Genomic DNA, 21986 nt, shown 5'->3' with positions numbered 1-21986 from the left:
CATGGATAATGTATACCAGCAAAAGAGGGAGAATGCCTGGGAGGGGACTACGAGGTGCTGGACCAAGGGGCATAGGATATCAAGCAGGGGAAGGGAGAATTTGTATGGGGTATGGGGCCCACAAGACAGGATTTCATTCCCTGGAAAGTTACCGTCACAGAGAACATGAGGGTAAATAATAATGATAATAATAATAATAATTCCCTGGAAATTGCCTCAGGGATGGTTCTGTTATGCTGCTGGATGACTCTTGGAAGCTTGGGGGAAAAGCGGCCTACGTTAAATGAAGTGGAGAGGCCAGAACTGCCACGGCAGGCTGTGGAGGAAGAGGTCAAAAGGCTCAGGGAAGTGGGCATGCTGAAACAGATCTACCGTCTAACACCAGGAAGTCTACCAGTGATTACTTTCCTCGGGAGGTTCCAAGGAAACTAATGGAGGAAGAAACTCAGTGGTGAAAGGGATACTGGCATCATTGCGAAGCTGCCCTCTGCAGCTGAGGCTGATGATAAGCATTGCTGTTACAGAGCTAGACTTCCTGGTAGCAAAGGAGATTAGAGCGTTCCAGAATAGCAGAGGCCAGGTGACACCACTTAGCCATCAGAAGCACTTAACCATTAAAACCACTTAATTACTGTAATGGGCAGCCAGGTCAGGATGTCAGCCGGGGGACTAACCTTTGGGGGCCTATGGAGAGGACTAATCGAATATAGTGTTCCTAGGAACAAGAAAGATGGGTAGGAGAATAGTGCAACAGAAAAAAATAGTGCTAAAGGCATATAAATAGAAGATAACCTGCAATTAATAATAGGTTAGCAGGAGGCTGAGGTCAGGCACCCCAGTGGAAAGTCATGATCTCTTGTCCAGTTTCCAGACCTGAGCCATTTCTCAGACTCGGAACCAATTGACTGAAAGAGAGGCTGCATTATTATGAGGAAAGACTGACTGAGAGTCAGGTGATAACTGAAGGTCTGGCCCAGGTCCATCTAAAACAGATTCACTGAGTCTGTGGATTCCACCAGTGGCTATTTCTCTGGTTCCTTCACGGGGAATGGAAATACCTAGCACTCGGCAGAATCCTCACATTGGTTCCTTGAGCTGTGGAACTAGAGCTATTTTAGTAGGAACTCCAATAGTAATCCTTGAAACAGACCCTCTCCCACCAAGAAGAGTATTGCAGGCCCGGAGAATGGCAGACATAAGCGCCATCCTCAAAGACTTCAAGAATGCAGAGATGGTGCTCTTTGTCATAACCCTATTTAATTAGCCAGTATGACCTCAGAAACACTGGTTAGATCACAGTGTACGACAGTGGACTACCAAGAACTTAGCCAAATATTGGCCCCATTGCAGCTGGTTTGTAAGATCTGGTATCTTTACTAGAACATATTACTACAGCCTTGGTACATGTATGTATTAGGCTGGTGCAAAAGTAATTGCGGTTTTTGCCATTACTTGTAATTGCAGTTTTTGCCATTACTTTTACTTTTGCACTATCCTAATCGCTATCCATCTGTAAATGTGTTCTTTTCTATATCCACCAGGAAGAAAGATCAGAAGCAGTTTTTATCCACGTGGTATGGACGTGATATTCATTTGCCAGGGCAATGTTAATTATCCTGCTTTCTGTCATATAATATAGTCCAAAGGGACTTGGACAACCTGGGCATCCTGCAGAACATCGCACTGGTCTCCAATATTTATGACACCATGTTAATTAGATATTAGAAGCAAGAAATGGCAAGTACTCCATATGCCTTGGTAAGAAATATGTTCTCCACATGCAGTCCCTGCTCCCCGCTCAGCTCAGGCAGAACATGAACCTGGGCGTCAGATCCCTTCACTTTCAGGGCAGCCTGAGTGGCGCCATCAGCACAAGCCTGCTGCCCTCCTCCCTCATGCAGGGCCAGATCTGAGCCACGTGTCCATGCAGCAGAGCAGGCTGCCCACAACCTCCATGAGCATCACAGGGCCCGGCTACAGCCACACGGGACCCACCTCGCAGGGGGTCCCCATGCAGGGGCAAGGCACCGTTGGCAACTATGTGTCTCGGACCAAAATCAACATGTAGTCCAACCCAGATACCTCCTCTGCCTCCGCCCAACCCCAGGGAGCCTGGGCCTGCCTCCAAGACCCTTGAAACATGTGACTGCTGGACATGTGGCCCCCAGAGAGCTACCCTCCTGCTAGGTGCTGGGGTGCTAGGGGAGGGGAGGGTGAATCCCTGCTGGCCGCCTCCCTGAGAGCTTCCGGAGGGATGGGCGCCCGTGGGTACATAGCAACTCCTCCTGTCCCCCTGCTTTGAGGGGGGCTGGGCTGTTTCCCATGAGTCTCAGGGAAGGGCCCTAGGAGGGGGCCCTTGGCCCTGGGTCTGGACAGATAGCACTGGGCTCACAGAGGTGGTGTAGAGTCGTTCCCTGGGTAGGGTAAAGCCTGGCCAGAGGCACCACAGTGGAAAAGATGAGGGGTCACAAGCTTTGGGCCAGAGGCCCCAGCCTTTCCGCAGGGCAGCCGGACACTGAACCCAGCCATGTACCGTGGTGGCCATGTGTGGTGTTGGGTGCTTGAGAAGCAGCAGGTCCTTGTCACGTTTCATGAGTGTTGTAGACACACGGACTTCAGAGGCTTAGTCCCAAAAAAGGGTGCAAAGTATCTCCTTAGTATTTCTTCATGATAATTGAATGTTAAAAATTTTTTTGGACATATTGACTCAAATAAAAAGAATGATTTAAATGGTGGGGGGAAGAAATATGTTCTCTACAAGGTAGAGGATAGAGGCTAACAAGATTCAGAGGCCTGCCTCATCAGTGAAGTTTTTAAAGATCCAGTGGTCTGGGGTAAGCTGGAACATCCCCTCCAAAGTACAAGACAAGTTCTTGTAGCCTGAATTCCTACCACCAAGAAGAAAAGCAGAATACTTGGTAGGCCTCTGGGTTTTGAAGGCAGCATATTCACTGTACTTGGCAATATATTTATCAGGTGACTTGGAAAGCTGCTAGCTGTTAGTGAAGCTCAGGTGATAAAGGGCTGTATAGTAGGTACATTCTTTGGTACAAGCAGACCTGCCACTTGGACTCTGTGAGCCAGCAGATCCCATGGTACTAGAGGTGTCTGTTGTAAAGAAAGATGCCACGTGGTACTTCTGGCAAGCCCCAATAGGCGAGTCACAGCACAGACCCCAGGATCCTGGAGCAAGGCCATGCCATCTGCTGCAGAGAACTATACTCCATTTGAAAAACAGCTCTGTCATGATCCTGGGCCCTGGTAGAAACTGAGCATCTGACCATGGGACACTAAGTGACCATGAGACACAGAGTGAACATAAGTTGGATTCTGTCAGACTCTCTGTGTCATAAGGTCAGCTGGGTGCAGCAGCAATCCCCTGTAAGGAATCCAGTAGGTCTGCAATTAGATCCAAGCAAATCCAGAGAGCATGAGTGAGCTGCACAAATAGGTGGCTGAGACCCCCATGTCAACTGCTACTGTTGTACCAACGCCTCTCCCTAAACTCATAGCTATGGCCGCAGGGGAGTTCCCCATGAACAGTTGACAATGAAAGAAAAAAATCCAAGCTTGGATCTTAGATGGTCAGCTGGGTGTGGATGCAAGCTGGAAATACCTGCTGCAGCACTGCTGCCCCACTCAGGGGTGGTTCTGAAAGAGATGAAAGGGGAAGCATAACATTTGGCAGAGCTTCAAGCAGTGCATTTAGTCATCGACTTTGGACATAGAAGTATGTTGCCCATATACAAATGTTAGCTTCGCTTGTTGGTCAAGGGCCTGGAAGAAGGAAGATTGGGAAAGGCTGGAGAATAGGCAGGTAAATACACTTATGGGAGAGGGCACATAGTGTAAGGACCTTTTAGTACATAATGCCCATTAGAAAGTTTCCACTGCAGAAGAGGCATCAACCAACTGTGTAGACAGGATGTCTAGGCCAGCAGATATCAGGCAGCCTCTGTCTATGGCCACCCCAGTTCTCGCACAAGGGGCCCATAGAGGGAGTAGCCATGGTAGCAGAGGTGGAGGCTATGCATGGGCCCAACAGCTTGGACTCTCTCCAAAGCTGATAAAACTACTTCTGCTATTGAATGTCTGACCTGTTTGCAGCAGAGACCAACACTGAGTGCTCAAGAATGCCAAACAGCTACCGGGTGGCAAGTTGATTACAATGGATCCTTCCAGCCTGGAAAGAGTCCCATTTCATCATGACTGGGTTTGACATATATTCCCAGTACAGGTTTGCTTTTCCTGCCTGCAGTGCTTCAGCCAGTACCACTACTGAAGGACTTACAGAATGTCAGACAGTCTGACACAGGATCTCACATAACACTGCCTCAGACCAAGGGTCTCACTTTCCAGCAAGAAGATACAGTGTTGGGCACCTGACCAGAGGATCCACTGGTCATACCACATACCATACCACTTGGAAGCTATCAAATTGATAGAGTGGAGCAATGGCCTATGGAAGGCATAGCTGAAATTCCACCTTGGAAATAACCCCTTGTGAGGCTGGAGCATTATCCTTCAGGATAATGCAAATATACACCTTAAACCAATGGCTGGTATATGGTGCTGTGTCCACAGTAGATAGAATACATGGATCCAGTGATCAAGGGATAATCAGGTCCTATACTCAGAGGTGGGATGCTTTCATCATAGGACACAGTAAGAGTCCCACTAAACTGAAAGCTATGGCTGCTCTCTGATCACTGTGGGCTCTTAATGTTGGAAGACCTGCAAGCAAACCATCAGAACAAGGTGGAGGCTGATGCTACATAATTAGACCAGAGAGGAATGCACTGGGTACTCAGGAGATCCAATGGGGGCATTTCTTGGTATTCCTGTGCCTAGTTGTAACTGTAAATGAATAAGTACAGCCACCGTAGCCTGGTAAAAGCATGATAATCAGGGTCTGAACCCCTCAGGGATGAGTGCCTGGTTCAATCCATCAGTCAAGCCACCTGCACCAGCAGAAGTGCTAGCTGAGGTGGAGGGGAATCTAGAAAGGGTAGTGCAGGAGGGAGATAATGAGTATCAGTTATGGCCTTGGAACCAGCTGCAGCAACAGGGGCTGTAGTTTGTCCCAATACCCTTGTCTTTTAAAAATTTCCCAGAAATTGGGATTAGAAACTGCTCAGATGGAGAAATTTCACATGAGAAGCAAAAGATCTCAGCAATACAAAGCGTGGACCATAGTGAACGTTTTTTGTTTCCTGCCCAAATCCACTCTATAAGCTCATGCATCTGTACTCCAGCTGCTGGGAGTATTGGATAACAATTTCAGCTGCCTTCTTCTCTAGAGAATTTCCCTTGGCTAAAACAGGAGCCACCTCACGCATGAGGTTCTGCTGCAATCCTGCCCCTGAAGATCTCACCCAATGAGGGACAGGCATGTACGTACAAAGAGCTGGCCAACAAGGCCACTTGGTGGTGAATTTCACGGGATCAGTGGAGGCTCATTCTTGTTTCCTTGTCCTCCTGGCCAATCCTGCTTCCTCTATCCCCTTCTCCAGAGTGCACCGTCCTAATAAAACACTTCAATAACAATCCTTGTCTCAGGCTTCGTTTCTAGATAACCTGATCCAAGACCATCTCTGGCCTAATTAAGACCCTGGTTATCAGGAGTATCCTTGAGGGTTGTTTTTATATGCAGAAAAGGACTATTCCGAAGTTTCTCTTGAGGAATGAAATACTGAGACATGCTACAACATGATGACCCTTGAAAACATTATGCTAAGTGAAAGAAACCAGACACAAAAGACCACATGACGTAGAATACCATTTGTTTGAAATGCTCAGAATAGGCAAATCCAGAGACAGAAAGTACATTAGTAATTGCCAGGGGCTGGGAATAGGGTGGAGTAGGAATGAGAGTAATTGTTAATAGGTATAGGGTTTCCTCTGGGGAGATGAACCTGTTTTACAATTAGATTGTGGTGAATGCTGCGCAAGTCTGATTATACTAAAAACCACTGGATTGTATACCTTAAATGGGCAAATTTTATGGTATGTGAATTATATCTCAATAAGGCTGTTAAAAGAGCTATAAGGAAATAAAGAACATATTATTTAAAAAATCTTTGTCTTAAACAGTTAATATTCAACTTATTAGTTCCAAATTCAATGTCCTAGTTACAACTTAGGTTTTTACGTTTGGTTTACAGCTCTTATTATTCTAGTGGTAAGCATAGTAAATCTTTCTGTTTTTGTTTTTTTTGAGATGGAGTCTCGCTCTGTTACCAGGCTGGAGTGCAGTGGCACAATCTCAGCTCACTGCAACCTCCGCCTCCCAAGTTCAAGCGATTCTCCTGCCTCAGCCTCCCAAGTAGCTGGGACTACAGGTGTGCGCCACCACACCCAGCTAATTTTTGTAATTTTAGTAGAGATGGGGTTTCACCATGTTGGCCAGGATGGTCTCAATCTCTTGACCTCATGATCTGCCCGCCTTGGCCTCCCAAAGTGCTGGGATTACAGGTGTGAGCAGCTGTGCCTGGTCAAGTATAGTAAATCTTAACAGTCATTTGGAATTAGCCCTTCACTAACTTTCAATCTCATTCATATACATATTTAATATCTTCAAACCAACATTTTAAACTGTATTTATACATTTAATATTTTATCTCATTCACAAGTACTTCAAATGTTACATGTAATTTCGTCTTTAAATCTTATATAATAATTTTTAAACTAATAATAAAACAATATGGGGAGCCTATATTTCTCTTTGCTGCTCTGATGCCATCCATAAACTTAGCAAGATTTCAACTTCAACTTAAAACTTGAAATCGAGTGCTCCATTTTGTTTTAAATTGTAATTAAGGCTGTCGTTTTATGAAGCCAAAATCTTTTAAACATGACAAGTACATAATTTACCAGATATACAGAGAATCCTTTTAATGTTATGGTTTTAATTATTTTAGATCTTTGTATTCCTAATTGTAAAAAGTCCAGGAGTTACATGAGGCATACACACTACAAAGGCCAGGTACCAATCCAATAAACAGAAATTAATTAGACCAGAGACCTTGGCAGGTTCTGAGACCTGGAGTAGATATCCAGAATGATTCATCTGTCTGTTCCAGCTGTTGTATCTAAGCCCCTCTTTGTAGTCATTTTGTCTTGGACTACAAAAACTGAAGCAAGGTGTTGGATTCAAGTTACATACATTACCTGATTCTCTACTCACAAAAACCTGCAACTTCCTACCTGGTAAATCACTTGATTGGATTTTTATTTAGACATTTTTATAATAGTTTTTTTTTTATTCTTAGGGTATATAATAGGAAATAGGAAAAATAGGAAGAGACACATATGTCTTTTCCACTCAACATGTAAAAAGTATTTGCACTTGGATTATTGCATTTGATTGCACTCTCCAAAATTCACAGATATTAAAAATGATTTCTACTTGTTATTTTCTATGATGTGTGTTCACAATATCTGAAGTCGTTGTACTGTGTGCATTAATCCCGTTTGCCAAAAGATTGCATTTTTCTCTGCTCATCTATGCAGTAGGCTGAGGAGAATGTTCTGCCAAGTGCTGTGCTAAGTTCTGGGATTACAAAAATGAATTAGACCATTTGATCACACTTAAGCAGTTCAGACTCTAGGTAGTAAAGACCTAAAAACAGAAAATCATCTTAAGTATTTGCTCAATGGCTCTTTTTCCATGGGAAAAGAGGGCAAGGACTTCATTCTATGAGGACATGACTGTCTGATTCACGGCTGTCATCACCAGCACCTAATACATAGTCACACTCACTATTTGTTAAATACATGAATACATGCTAAAATAGGGTTTTATATATAGAGGGAGTATGGGAGCCCCCAAAAGGGACATTTGCTTAGTTTTATGTGTAAATATCGGGCTGGAGGGTGAGGTAAGGGTGTTATTTCAGAGGTATCAGGAAAAATTCCTTAAAGATGAGAACTGAGCTGAGTTTTGGGAGACAGAGGAAATTAGGTAAAAGTGGAGTTGGGGGTTGCTTAGGAGTTCCCATATCTTGTGGCGGAACTTCAAGCAGTTTCGGAGTGCCAAGACAACAGCCTGTAAATGTAAGCAGAAGAAAGATCTGGAAGGGCTTTCTAGGCTGTTTTATATATTTCCATTTTAGTATCCATATCCATATGCTTATTTTAAACACTTGTCCATAGATCCTTACTACACTGGTAGCTCATTGATGCTAAGGACTGCATGTAGCTTGTTATCCAGGTGCCCAGCATAATAATGGGGATATGGTAGTTCCTCAAAAGTTAATGCAGAAATGAAAGAACAAACGGAAGAATAACAAGTAACGGCATTGTGAGCACTCTCCAGTGATGAAGTCATCAGATGGTAGGGATGTCAGGAAAGGGGACTATACCAGGTTAGACAGAGACCTACTCAGCATCTTAACTAACGGTGAGGTAAGTTTAGTAAGCCTCACATCTCAGAAATAAAATCAGAGGGAGGAATGTTGGGAGTTTCAAACTGCTTTCCTAGCGGGAAGGTGAAAAAACACAAAATATAGTGGGGTGCGGTGCCTCATGCCTGTAATCCCATTTTGCTGAGGTGAGAGGATTGCTTGAGGCCGAGTACGAAACCAGCCTGGGCAACATAGCGAGACCCCCGTCTCTACAAAAGAAAAAATGTGAAATTAATGGCAAGCGCCTGTAGTTCCAGCTACTGGGATGAGGAGGGAGGATCGCTGGAGGCTGCAGTGAGCTACGATCGCTCTAGCCTGGGCGACAGGATGAGACCTTGTCTCAAATAGAGATAGACAGACAGACAGACTTCAGAATTTATTAGGGTTTGTAATTTCCAGGTTCCAAAGCACAGCAAGGGAAAGGGCCTGGCTGGGTAGTACGTTACACCCGGAAGTAAAGAGACGCATACACCGTTGGGTGCACTTTATAGTCTGGCTGGCAAACGAGCGACACCGACGCGCAGAGTTAAGTGCTGGGACTTCCCAAGCCTGGAAAGCAGACCGTGTCTCTGCAACTACGCGGCTGCCACGAGCGCTGAGCGGCCGGGCATTTGGCCTCGAGGAGGAGGCACTGTAAGGGCGGCGCAAGAGGGCGGAACGCGGGACGCCAGGCACCCTAGCTCCCGACGGACGCAGTTTTCAGTTGCACGGGCGAGCTCCGGGCCGGCTGCGGAGCGACTCCCCGCCGCCAAGTGGGCGGCGTGGCTGTCGGGAAAGAAGGGCTGGGGCCTGCCGTTCTTCCTCCCGAGTATCCCCTCCAGCTGGACGACCCCACGCTGCAGCACGGGCTTCCGGCTTCTCTCCTCAGTGGCCAATTCGAGGGCACAGCGGGCTCCGGAGGCGCGGCGGCAAGCCTATCCCGCCTCCCAACCACAGCCTCCAGCACCCGAGAGAACGGCCGCCCACAGCACACGTTCTCCGGACAGGAGGGCGAAGGCCCAAGACCTGGAGAGGTGGGCTCGAGGGAAAGATCTGGGTCCCACCACTACTTCCTGGAGACGCCGGGGAAAGCAGGCCATCCTTCGAGCCACCCATCTCTTCTCCGATTGGTTAACTGCCTTCTTATTGCGCTCCGCTGGCTGGTGATTGGTTGGGATGCACCGTCTATCACCTGCTTCCTTGTGAGAATCTAGGTCTCTAAGGGAAGCGTTACTTGAGGCTCGGTTGGGAAGAGGTTGGTTGGGCCTCTTGAGCCCACTTTATTTATCGTAGTGGGGATCGTCCCCCGGCGCGAGCTTCCGTCGCAACGGCCGGGAAAGAAACCAGTAGCGGGACGGAGGGCGGGGGTGGCAAGAAAGTCAAGGTTTAGAAGTAAGCCGGAGACGCCTAACCCTGGTAACATCCGAATGGGAACGGGATAGGAAGGAAGGCCTTTGAGAGAGGAGGCGTAAACCCAGGAACAGTGACAGTGTAGGACGAAAGGCCTAAGTTTGTTGCGGAAGGTAGGGGCCTTGCGGGAGGTTTTCGTGACCTAATTGTATGGGGATCTAATTTTCTAGATGTGTCTAACAAAATCCACTGGAGAATTTGCTTTGGCTTTGCAGCAGAGTGGGGAGACTACCACCCGTTCCTGGCCTTTAAAGAAACAGTTTATTGAATTATTCAACTCTCTTTTATTGCTTCAGATGGGCAGCTCTCAAAAAAGGCACAAACAATTGAAGGATGGATACCATGGCATATGTTAAAAGCGTGTTGAAAGGAAAATAAGGTATTCGCTTTGTTTTCATTGTGATTAACTGTATAAGAAAATTACCTTTAAGGAGAAGCTCAAGTTTTAAATAATATTAGGGTAACTTGATTTTATGATAGGCTTCAACTTGTAAAATTATTTATTACAAAAATCCTATTATTGCTGTACCTACGAAATATGCTCTTTGCTAATTATGGTCTTAATCTGAAGATAGAGATCTTGAGTTTTTAGTAGTGTTAATTCATATTTGAGTGGATAATGTTACTAGGTCATTTGTTCAAAATGACATAATAAAATAACCACAGTGAAAAAAATCCTTGAATTTGTAATTTAGTGTTACAGGTGAAATTGAATAGTTGCTTACTCCAACAGTATTTTAGACTTGTAGGCTAATTTCACCTTATATTTAAAGCAGCTTGCTTATTAAATACCTAGTGTATTTCGAGAGGCAGAGTTGCACAGTTGCTTCACTGGTAGCCTAGCCATTTGAGCCTCCAGCCTCTACTGAGTCAGGTGCTGTATTACTCATACCCTTTAGTGACATGCCAGAAATTGTCGAGGAATAGTTTATTTCATCTGCAGAACACCCAAATTAGCTCTTAACAGCAGACCTGGTCCTACCCTGGAAAACTCTAATCAAGGATTGGGGATGAGATTTGGGCATCTAGATTTTTAAAAATACCCTTAAGTGAGTTTGAGAACCATTGCTTTAGTGTGACTTACTGAATAGATGTATTTAAGAAATTCTAAAATATTTGTGAAACAAACATCTTTCTCTCTTGATTTCCATGTAATTTAAAAGTGAGCTTCTCAGGAGTGACACTTAAATATAATCCAAAAATAGTGGTTTCTTAGGCAAAGTCAGGAAGTTTCACTGGCATTCTGAAACTCCTGGGACTAACCATTCCAGGCTTAAGGATGAGGCTTGATATGGGGTGATACAAAGTGCTCTGATGCACTTTCACAATCCTTGAGCCATACATGATGTCTTGTTTCCTGTTGGGTTTCAAAGTCTTCCTGGTAAGCTTTAATAAGAGACCACCTTCCAGTTTGTTCAGTAGATATTAATTAGGCTAAATGATTTTCACCTCATCAAAGTGCAGTGGGGGATAATATTACATTCATGAGCCTTATTTTGGAAAGAATACCTTGCTGAAAACAAATGTAAATTATATCATCCCAGTATCCCTTTGCTCATTAAGTGAAGAATGTGCATAATTCAAGCCTAAAATTTGTAATTAATGTGAAGTACCCAGATCCTGAAACATAAATGAGGACTTCTGGATCAACTTTTCCAGATCGTCAACATGGTCAAAAATGAGATAATCACTATGGTATTCAGGCATGAGCATTGTGTGGTAAACCCAAATCCAGTCTGACTTAATGGCTTTAGGCAAAGAAGTAAGTGCCAATTGTGTTGTATTTCCTAGAAGCTGTTTTTCATTTTATATGTAAGCTTCTCACTGCAAGATTTGGCAAATACAGTATTTGGGTAGGGGACAACATTTAAAAATTAAGAAAAACTGCAAGTTAAAAATACAAAGCCAAATGTGGTCCATGACTTAACACCTTGAATGTTGTTTATATTGTTTGAACAGAAAGCCAGGAATCTCAGGATGAATCAGTCTAGATCGAGATCAGATGGTGGCAGTGAAGAAACCTTACCTCAAGACCATAATCATCATGAAAATGAGAGAAGATGGCAGCAAGAGCGTCTCCACAGAGAAGAGGCCTATTATCAGTTTATTAATGAACTCAATGATGAAGATTATCGGCTTATGAGAGACCATAATCTTTTAGGCACCCCTGGTAAGAGATGGGTAAAAGAGGAAACACCCTTTTTTCATCATTTAGATGGAAGGATTTCAAGATAAGGAGAATTGGTATTCTTTTTCCTTGCTTCTCTTTATGAAAATATAGTATATTGTTTTTGTGAGTTTAAGAACTTTTTAGTATAATAAAGTAGAAAATCACTGGCTTCTGTATTTTATAAGGTGAAAATAGGGGACATGGAGCACTATTATACAAATGCCAAACTAAGAAACAGGTTAATGTACATAATGGTGTTAAGTATTTACATATATGGTCCTATTTGTAATTTTTATACAAATAAAATATGACTTAAAACCCAATTTGAACTCATTTGGGGTATTATAATTTATTTATTCAGCTGAATTAATAGCTCCCCCCAAAGCCCAATGTGTTCCATAAAGTTTTTACAAATGAACTAATGGAAATTTGTATGTTTATATATTGTGTGTTTGTATATTGATGACCCATATAATGAAGTATTTGGGATAAAATTCAAGTAAATATTTGAAGTTTTCTCTATAAATGCTCCCTTAATTTCTTTTTAACTGACAAAAATCCACAGTTATAGCTTATAGATTCCTAAGTGTATCAACTGGCAGCACTTTACCAACTATTCAAATTAAATCTTATTTTAATAATTTTTAATAAAAGATTAATAAATGAAGCACAACCGAATTGATGCACATTTGTACCAGTTGAATATTTTTAACTGTCTTCAATTTACAGAACATATGAAAGTAATAAGACATTTGTCTTCTATAGGTTACTAAAGATTAGTCTTACCCTTCATGAGGTCTCATAAAACTTAATTCAGAATTCTTAAATGAGCAGTTTTTCATTGTTTTAGGAGAAATAACATCAGAAGAACTGCAACAGCGGTTAGATGGCGTCAAGGAACAACTAGCATCTCAGCCTGACTTGAGAGATGGAACGAATTACAGAGGTACTATGGAGTCCTTTCCATAAGGAACAGGCTTGATTGGAGCACTTGCAGAAATGAAATTCTTAGACCTTGTATAGTATGTTTGTCTTCAATTTTTTCCAGTTTTAATGTGATACTCATTCAGATAATATATATATGAGTAGTAAAGCAGTATGGTTAAGCAGTATAGGACAGAGGAATGAATGCAAAGATGTCTTAAACACACAGATTGCCTTCAGAGAGCTTTATGTAATAATATACAATTAAGTTAATTCCCAGCATGCTTCTTTTTAATCTTGGAATGTACACATTACTTTTTCTAAAGTGATATTACTTAGCTTCTAAAAATTTATATACAGAACCGTGTAGAAAGACTGAGTTAGGAAACCTGTTTTTGTTTCTTTGTTCTGTTTGATGGTTTACATATAAAAAGTTCTTATAAGGAAAGTACTATAAAAGAACTTCAAACTAAATGAAGTATGTAGAGTTAAAAGGAAAAGCCACTTTTGTGTTCCTCTTAACCAGTTCTACTTCCCTCCTCAGAGGTATTTATTAGTAGTTTCACATATTATATCAAAATCATTGTATTAGTTACCATGAAGTCTATGTAAAAACCCCAAAATGCAATGGCTCAATAAGCTAGAAGTTTCTTACTTACGTTAACAGTCCAGGGAAGGAAATCCTCTTGGAACCCACTCAGCTAACAGAATGATTCTACAACTGTGCTGTTCAGTACAGTAGCTGCTAGCCACATGTGACTATTTAAATGGAAATTAATTAAAATCAAATTAAATTTAAAATTTAGCTCATTCATACTAGCCACATTCAGGTGCTTAATAGTCACATTTGGCTAGTGGCTTCTGTATTGGACAGCACAAATACAGAACATACTCATTACTTCAGAAAGATTTATGGGGCATCACTGCTCCAGGGTACCATTTGTATGATCAAGGTAAGTCGCAACCATATCTAGGTTCTAGCTGGTAGGAAGGAGGTCCACGCACTAGCGTGAGAGTAGGATGTATCGCTTACTCTCCCATTCCATTCATGAGAACTTAGTCTCATGGTCACACCTAACTGCCAGGCTGTCCACGAGCCAATTTCCGATGCTTTTACAATGGAAGAAGAGTAGGGTAGCTTTGAGTAGGTACTTGGCAAACTCTTTCACATGCACCATCATCACTACACTTAATCAAATGTTAATCAAAGAAGGAAGTAGCATTTAAAATAATTCATGTTCACCTGCCTTTTACTCATTCTTTTTCCAAACAAATGGGAAGTGGACATTAACACATTTTATTATTTGTGTTTAGATATGTAAGTTGTACTATATAGATGCAATAATTAATACTGATCTTTTGAATATGTTTCAGTGGAAAATGTACTCATCAAATATAAAATAGCTCATCATCTCTGGAATATGGCTCAGTTGCTGTTTATTTTATTGGCATCAACAGCTGATTAATAGCTTCAACTTCAGCATTTAAAAAAGTCTTACGAGAGAGATTGCAGGAATGAAATGAAATCAGAATGATGTCATATAATAGCTATTTTATTTATTTGTTTATTTATTTTTTGAGACAGAGTCCTGTTCTGTCACCCAGGCTGTAGTACAGTGGCACAATCTTGGCTCACTGCAACCTCTGCCTCCCGGGTTCAAGCAATTCTCCTGCCTCAGCCTCCTGAGTAGCTGGGATTACAGGCGCACGCCACCATGCCTGGCTAATTTCTTTGTATTTTTAGGAGAGACAGGTTTTTACCATGTCAGTCAGGCTGGTCTCGAACTCCTGACTTCATGATCTGCCTGCCTTGGCCTCCCAAAGTGCTGGGATTACAGGTGTGAGCCACCGCGCCCGGCCTATAATAGCTATTTTTGAGTAGAACAAACTTTAAAGTTGAAGTTTGTGTAGTTAATGTGTTGATGCTTTTTATTAAGTTTTGTACTTTATATAATATCTACTGGTTATAAATGGAAAATTTAAGCTTGGCACAGTGGCAGTATCTTAGTCAAAAAAGTTTATGGGTGACACATTTCTAAATTGATTAATTGAGCAATATTAATTGAAAGTCTGATTTATACTAGATACTGCTGTAGAGGCTGGAGATGTAACAGTGACTAAAACTACAAAAATCTTTGTTTTCCTGGAGCTTACGTTCTAAATGAATAGAAAATGTATTTTATTATGTATAACAGCTAACATTTATGGGGTGGCTTTTTATGTGCCAGATATTATGCTAATTATGTTATATATAGCGTCTTATTTTATCCTCAGGATAACCCTATGAGATTGATTCTATTATTAACTCCAGTTTATAGACAAGGATCAGCCATAGAGACCTTAAGTAACTTGCCTGGTTTCTCAGCTTCACACAAAGACAAATACAGTAATGTGGTTTTAATGTTATATTCAGAAACTCACATTTCTTGATGTGTACATTTTTGGCAGCACCTGAGAAATAGGAAAAATTTCTAAGATTACAGAAATACCTAGTTGCAAAAATGACTGAGTTGGCTTTTCCAGAAAGATTCCACAAATACAGGACAAATTTTACATAAAGTTTGTCTTTGTATTTTATTGATATTACTATATTGATAAAGCAATTTAAATGTAAACTTTTGGTAGTGGACATGTTTCTCATTTGCCTTAGTATTTTGCTAGTAATGGGCAGATAGAAAGTAAGAATGAGGATTTCTCCATAGCGTTGCATAAATAGTATTTAAAGCTTTGTAACTATGTAAATAGTAATTTAATTTTTATAATATGCTTATAGTAGATATACTTTTCTTTTAGAAAGTTGTCTTTTTGCCATCTTTCATTCATTAAAATCCACAGATGTTCTTTAATTTATTACAAACTTTGTTTTTCTTACAAGTTTTCAATAAAGCTGTAAGGTGTGTCTTAGGAATTGATCTTAAGTTGATTTGCTTTGCTTTCTAGACTCAGAAGTCCCTAGAGAAAGTTCACATGAAGATTCTCTTCTAGAATGGTTGAACACCTTTCGGCGCACAGGAAATGCAACTCGAAGTGGACAAAATGGGAACCAAACTTGGAGAGCTGTGAGTCGAACAAACCCGAACAATGGAGAGTTTCGGTTTAGTTTGGAAATCCACGTAAATCATGAAAATAGAGGATTTGAAATTCATGGAGAAGATTATACAGACATTCCACTTTCAGATAGTAACAGAGATCATACTGCAAATAGGCAACAAAGGTCAACTAGTCCTGTGGCTAGGCGAACAAGAAGCCAAACCTCAGTGAATTTCAATGGTAGTAGTTCCAACATTCCAAGGACTAGGCTTGCTTCAAGGGGGCAAAATCCAGCTGAAGGATCTTTCTCAACATTGGGAAGGTTAAGAAATGGAATTGGGGGAGCAGCTGGCATTCCTCGAGCTAACGCTTCACGCACTAATTTCAGTAGTCACACAAACCAATCAGGTGGTAGTGAACTCAGGCAAAGGGAGGGGCAACGGTTTGGAGCAGCACATGTTTGGGAAAATGGGGCTAGAAGTAATGTTACAGTGAGGAATACAAACCAAAGATTAGAGCCAATAAGATTACGATCTACTTCCAATAGTCGAAGCCGTTCACCAATTCAGAGACAGAGTGGCACTGTTTATCATAATTCCCAAAGGGAAAGTAGACCAGTACAGCAAACCACTAGAAGATCTGTTAGGAGGAGAGGTAGAACTCGAGTCTTTTTAGAGCAAGATAGAGAACGAGAACGCAGAGGTACTGCATATACCCCATTCTCTAATTCAAGGCTTGTGTCAAGAATAACAGTAGAAGAAGGAGAAGAATCCAGCAGATCCTCAACTGCTGTACGACGACATCCAACAATCACACTGGACCTTCAAGTGAGAAGGATCCGTCCTGGAGAAAATAGAGATCGGGATAGTATTGCAAATAGAACTCGATCCAGAGTAGGGCTAGCAGAAAATACAGTCACTATTGAAAGCAATAGTGGGGGCTTTCGCCGAACCATTTCTCGTTTAGAGCGGTCAGGTATTCGAACCTATGTTAGTACCATAACAGTTCCTCTTCGTAGGATTTCTGAGAATGAGCTTGTTGAGCCATCATCAGTGGCTCTTCGGTCAATTTTAAGGCAGATCATGACTGGGTTTGGAGAACTGAGTTCTCTAATGGAGGCCGATTCTGAGTCAGAACTTCAAAGAAATGGCCAGCATTTACCAGACATGCACTCAGAACTGAGTAACTTAGGTACAGATAACAACAGGAGCCAGCACAGGGAAGGTTCCTCTCAAGACAGGCAGGCCCAAGGAGACAGCACTGAAATGCATGGTGAAAACGAGACCACCCAGCCTCATACTCGAAACAGTGACAGTAGGGGTGGCAGGCAGTTGCGAAATCCAAACAATTTAGTTGAAACTGGAACACTACCCATTCTTCGCCTTGCTCACTTTTTTTTACTAAATGAAAGTGATGATGATGATCGAATACGTGGTTTAACCAAAGAGCAGATTGACAATCTTTCCACCAGGCACTATGAGCATAACAGTATTGATAGTGAACTAGGTAAAATCTGTAGTGTTTGTATTAGTGACTATGTAACTGGAAACAAGCTCAGGCAATTACCTTGCATGCATGAATTTCACATTCATTGTATTGACCGATGGCTCTCAGAGAATTGCACTTGTCCGATCTGTCGGCAGCCTGTTTTAGGGTCTAACATAGCAAACAATGGGTAAGGTGATGGGATCTACTCAAATACTGTTTTTTAGTAGAACTGAATGTTCAAGCATTGTTTTGCTGAGTTATTTGTGATTAGCTAACCAGGATGAAAAATAACAGATTATATATAGTTTGAACTATTTTTCGTGTGCTTTTTTAAACTTGTTAAAAAGAAATTTATATAAAATTTAAAATACAAATGTTAAATTATCCAGAAATACAGAATAGTTAATATTGCTAGAACCAAATAACCTCTAAAATGTTTTTATTTTGGTAATTTTGTCATGCTAAGCACTTTTGTATCTGCACAATTCAGTAGGTTAAGAATCAATCTTCTTTTTCTTAATAGTACAGCAGACTTTAGCTTCAAGTTTCATAGGCTTAGTACTTATATCTAGACATTTGTGTCTAAATAAGCTTTTCATTAACTTTTTATTTTAAGGACAGTATCTTTTCATGAAAGAGTATTTGGCTGAATGTTTGCTATATATATGTTACTTGAAATGTTAAATTTAATATGCAGCATACCATAGGTGTATATATAGGTATATAATTTTAAGGTTAAAATATTCAGTCTACAAGTTTGGTTCTTATTTAAGCTTTTGGGCTAATACTGCATATGGCACAATGTTTAATATTGGCAAGTTCATCTCAGAGAAAGGGGATTCAGATATAATTTTAAAGTAGAGATAATTTACTGAAGCGTCTCTGACAATCTAACTTATTAGACAGCAAGCAATATATAATACTGAAAAAGTATTCAGAAATGGAAAATTTACATCATATAGGTTATTTAACTTGTGTTCAGCCTTTTTGTAACTTTTTTGAAAGTGCAAACAATTCTTTGGATTATTAAATAAGGTATACAGTATGCATGGTTTCTCAAATTTAGTTTTAAAATCTAAAAGTCTATAAAGAATCAGATGCATAGGCAATATGTTAAGTTCACTTGGAGGCTAAAAATCTCCAGTGAAAACAAAACGAAAACCTTTAAGAGAATGTAGAGTTTATATAAACACAAAGTATGCATTGAAGATCTGTTTCTACCAATAAACATTAAAACAAAGACTGTATGTGAACTATGTTTTTCTGTTGTTCCACTGTGGTTTATTCACCCTCCACTAATATTTCATACTAGATGCCAGGCAGTGTTATGGGATAGAGTATTTCCCAGACGACAGACAAAAGTCCCTGGCTTCATGGAAAAGACATATTTGCTCTTAGAAACTGAATATCAATTGATAAAGTGAATTATTATTCTTACTTTCATATTTGCTTATTAATATATGACAGGATTTTCTTGTGGTGATACTGTTTGGGCAAAATCACAAGAACAGTACTTAGGCCAGATTCTGTGAGATTTAGAAATATCTCCACATTTAATTTTCCTTTCTGACTGGTGACTATGTTCAATTCATTAGGTTAGATGCATGCCCAGGAATGTTAAGGAGTGCATTTACATGGAGTAAAAGGTTTTCATAAAAGTTGTGACTTTGTTTGGAGTAAATTATTTATGTAGGTCAGTTTGAGGATCTAAGACTGGGAAGGTTGATTTCAATCAGATTTGAAGGCTTTTCATAGCAAACTAAGGACTTTTTATCTTACCTTATAGAGATGTTAGATGTCTCTTGATTTTAGTGGCATAGGGTAGGATCATTTTTCATGGCCCAGGAGGATGGGTCTACTACAGCATATAGAACACAATGGAATGGAGAGAGATGGGAAGCAAAGAAACCAATAAGAGAACTATTGTGATAAAAGACATCATTATTTTTATTACCAGTTGTCATCACTTATCTACCCTAGAATGGTGGCAATGAAACTGAAAGGAAAGAGAAGGGTGTAAAAATGTTGGTTTTTAAAAAAAGACGTTGTTTGGTCTCTAGTTCAGTATGAAGAGGTGGAAGAGAGAATCACCTAGGTGGAGGAGGGAGAGGTAGCACAAATTAGTTACAAGGTATGCCAATTTAAACATCTTGAACATAGCTTAATTCATACATCTCACTTATTTTAGTGTTAAAATTTGCCCCCAGTATGAGGAGAGACTAAATCCAGCATTTTTATTTTTATTTTTATTTTTATTGAGACAGAGTCTCACTCTGTTGCCCAGGCTTGAGTGCAGTGGCACTATCTCGGCTCGCTGCAACCTCCGCCTCACAGGTTCAAGCAATTCTCCTGCCTCAGCCTCCGGAGTAGCAGGGATTACAGACATGCGCCACCACGCCCGGCGAATTTTCTGTATTTTTAGTAGAGACAGGGTTTCACCATGTTGGCCAGGCTAGTCTGGAACTCCTCACCTCATGATCCGCCCACCTTGGCCTCCCAAAGTGCTGGGATTATAGGCATGAGCCACCATGCCTGGCCCGTTTATTTCTTATATGGGATATTCCTCAGGAAGTTCTACCTCCCTGGGCCTGATGCAATAGGAAAATTAGGAGGACAAAGGAAGAGGGGAATGAAAAAAGTAAGGATACAGAAAAAATAAAGGCATATTGATTCTTTGACTTAGTCCTTTGCAAGACATGATAATGTTACTAGCATGGAAAGAAATCCCATATAGGCATTTGAAACAGAAGTAGATTGTGTTTTGTATGGAAAATTCCCTGAAGGCAGCAGTACAGCTTAATGAATTTCATAAATTGATAACCCAGTTGGGAATAAAAAAGGATATTCTTTAATATTTTCATTCATTTCCCAATAAACAAGGCTGATGACAAATACAAAGGCCCATTAATCTATTTATAGCTTCTATTTAGCAATGATTATACCCTTTGTGGTTCCAATATAGAGAAGAACAAATAGTTAGAAATTCTTCATTTGAATATTATGTTCCATGTCAGGTCCGTAGAGCTTGTTCTTTATAGTGTGGCTGTCTGGCAAACTTCTATTTCTAGATTGCCAGCTTCCAGCTGCCCTCTCACATAGTTACAGCCTTTTACCCTGTTTTCTCTTTTCCTAGATTTTTTTAGTTTCAGCCAGCATTATGACCCTTACTTAATTATCACTCTTACGAGGTTATTTTCCTTTCAATATTTAACATGAATTCATAATTTAAACCTCTGAAGCTCTCCTTGAAGTATTTTTGCTACCTAACTTAGTAATTGGCAGAGTTTAGGGAGTCAATCACGTGGCTATTTGCCTCCAAAGCTCCTGCTTTTCCTGCTATGCTGCATTCTGGAGAAGTGGAAATGCCTTGGGAAGTTTTCAGTCTAATTTAATTCCTCCTAAAGATATTTTTCTAATTTTACAACTTTGTTCTATCATATGTCTGATTACCCTAATTTCCATAGGCAAATACATCCTTCTGTCTCATGAATGGAGGAGAAGAGTTGCCCCTAAAAGATATAACAGAATCTGTATTATAAAGATGAATCCAGGAAAGAGATGAATGAGGCATCTGAAGATGCTGCATTAAGGGCCAGAGTTGACAAGCTCAGTCTGAGGCATTTTCATGTATATTACTCCCAGACAAGAACATCTAATGAACTTTTAATCTTCCTGCATCTCTCCATTGGAATAATCTGTGGCCAGGGGAGGAGAAACTAGAAACAGCACTTTACATGAAAGCCAGGGTGTTAATTCACTTTGCAGTAGTAGGTGGCTCACTTGGGGTCTCTCATTCAGTCCTGTGCAACACTGGAAATCAGAGAGCTGGCGTATCTGTATTAGGAGATGATTTCCCAGGAAGCCAGATTCATCTATCGTTGAGAACATCATCCCACGTTTCAAAAGATGATGATGGCTGTCAGTGGTGATTTTTTCTTTAGTCTCTAGAGACAGATTGCGAGTTATTTTCAGTGAGTATGAGTGTGTTAGTCCCTGAATATATTTGCCCTTTTGATCATTGGAGATCCATCATTTCAGCAAGTTTTGTTTGAGTATTAAATCTCTGAAGACTCTGAGTTGGCCCCTATATATTTTTTATTCCTTTTTAAAAATAACTTCACATTTCTTCTGGAAAATAATGACTTTCAGACATATTTTTCCTCTATTGTGTTAATGTCTCATTTGAAGATGGAGTAACTTCTTGGCTGCCCAGTATATATATATATATCTCACATCTTCTCACACATTTAATTGTAAAAATGCTCCTACTTAATCCTAATCCAGCCACCTTCTGTGCAATTCCAAATGTGCTGTGCAATTCCAAATGTGCTCACCTTCTCCCCAGTGGGTAACAATCCAAAATCACATGCAGCTTCTGTACTGTGAAGTGACACAATTTAGCCCCTCTGAGTTCAGGTTTTCTAGGTAGTGTCAATTCCTCCATTAGCTTGGATCTGATCAGGTTTGTGACTTCTCACCATTCTGCAGATTATGGGATAAATGATAAAAGTAGCTTCTCCTGCCTACCCGATACAGTGAAATGGAATAAAAATCAAACAAAAACAGGGAAAGAAGTGCCA

General features: G+C 40.8%; 1 protein-coding gene across 20 annotated transcripts in view, besides 4 other annotated features; it reads left to right on the top strand.

The window, feature by feature from the left end:
- Window positions 8336-21986, top strand: part of RNF6 (ring finger protein 6) — a 90971-nt gene continuing 77320 nt past the window's right edge. Inside the window, exons 1-6 of one of the 20 annotated variants that reach the window (XM_024449392.2) lie at window positions 8336-8406; window positions 10091-10173; window positions 11754-11964; window positions 12815-12910; window positions 15829-15947; window positions 16652-18646. In XM_024449392.2, the coding sequence (XP_024305160.1) occupies window positions 11772-11964; window positions 12815-12910; window positions 15829-15947; window positions 16652-16774 (531 nt within the window). In that variant the 5' untranslated portion in view covers window positions 8336-8406; window positions 10091-10173; window positions 11754-11771 and the 3' untranslated portion in view covers window positions 16775-18646. Of the gene's footprint in view, window positions 8407-9049; window positions 9908-10090; window positions 10174-11753; window positions 11965-12814; window positions 12911-15828; window positions 18647-21986 lie in introns of those variants that run through there. The other 19 variants (XM_017020686.2, XM_047430495.1, XM_047430496.1 and 16 more) reach the window with 19 other exon arrangements.
- Window positions 8572-9453: an enhancer, noted in NCBI's record as "H3K27ac hESC enhancer chr13:26796105-26796986 (GRCh37/hg19 assembly coordinates)". NCBI's record gives its function as "activates a minimal SCP1, AML or CMV promoter by ChIP-STARR-seq in naive and primed H9 embryonic stem cells {active_cell/tissue: H9 hESC(naive and primed)}" and the evidence as "EXISTENCE:reporter gene assay evidence [ECO:0000049][PMID:30033119]".
- Window positions 9047-9426: an enhancer, noted in NCBI's record as "active region_7492". NCBI's record gives its function as "activates an Ori minimal core promoter by ATAC-STARR-seq in GM12878 lymphoblastoid cells {active_cell/tissue: GM12878}" and the evidence as "EXISTENCE:reporter gene assay evidence [ECO:0000049][PMID:35858748]".
- Window positions 9454-10335: an enhancer, noted in NCBI's record as "H3K27ac hESC enhancer chr13:26795223-26796104 (GRCh37/hg19 assembly coordinates)". NCBI's record gives its function as "activates a minimal SCP1, AML or CMV promoter by ChIP-STARR-seq in naive H9 embryonic stem cells {active_cell/tissue: H9 hESC(naive)}" and the evidence as "EXISTENCE:reporter gene assay evidence [ECO:0000049][PMID:30033119]".
- Window positions 9877-9926: a silencer, noted in NCBI's record as "silent region_5185". NCBI's record gives its function as "represses an Ori minimal core promoter by ATAC-STARR-seq in GM12878 lymphoblastoid cells {active_cell/tissue: GM12878}" and the evidence as "EXISTENCE:reporter gene assay evidence [ECO:0000049][PMID:35858748]".

This window comes from Homo sapiens, chromosome 13 (genome assembly GCF_000001405.40).
Source record: "Homo sapiens chromosome 13, GRCh38.p14 Primary Assembly".
NCBI lineage: Eukaryota > Metazoa > Chordata > Mammalia > Primates > Hominidae > Homo > Homo sapiens.
The sequence above is the reverse complement of the archived record's forward strand: the minus strand, read 5'-3'. Positions and strand labels throughout refer to the sequence as shown.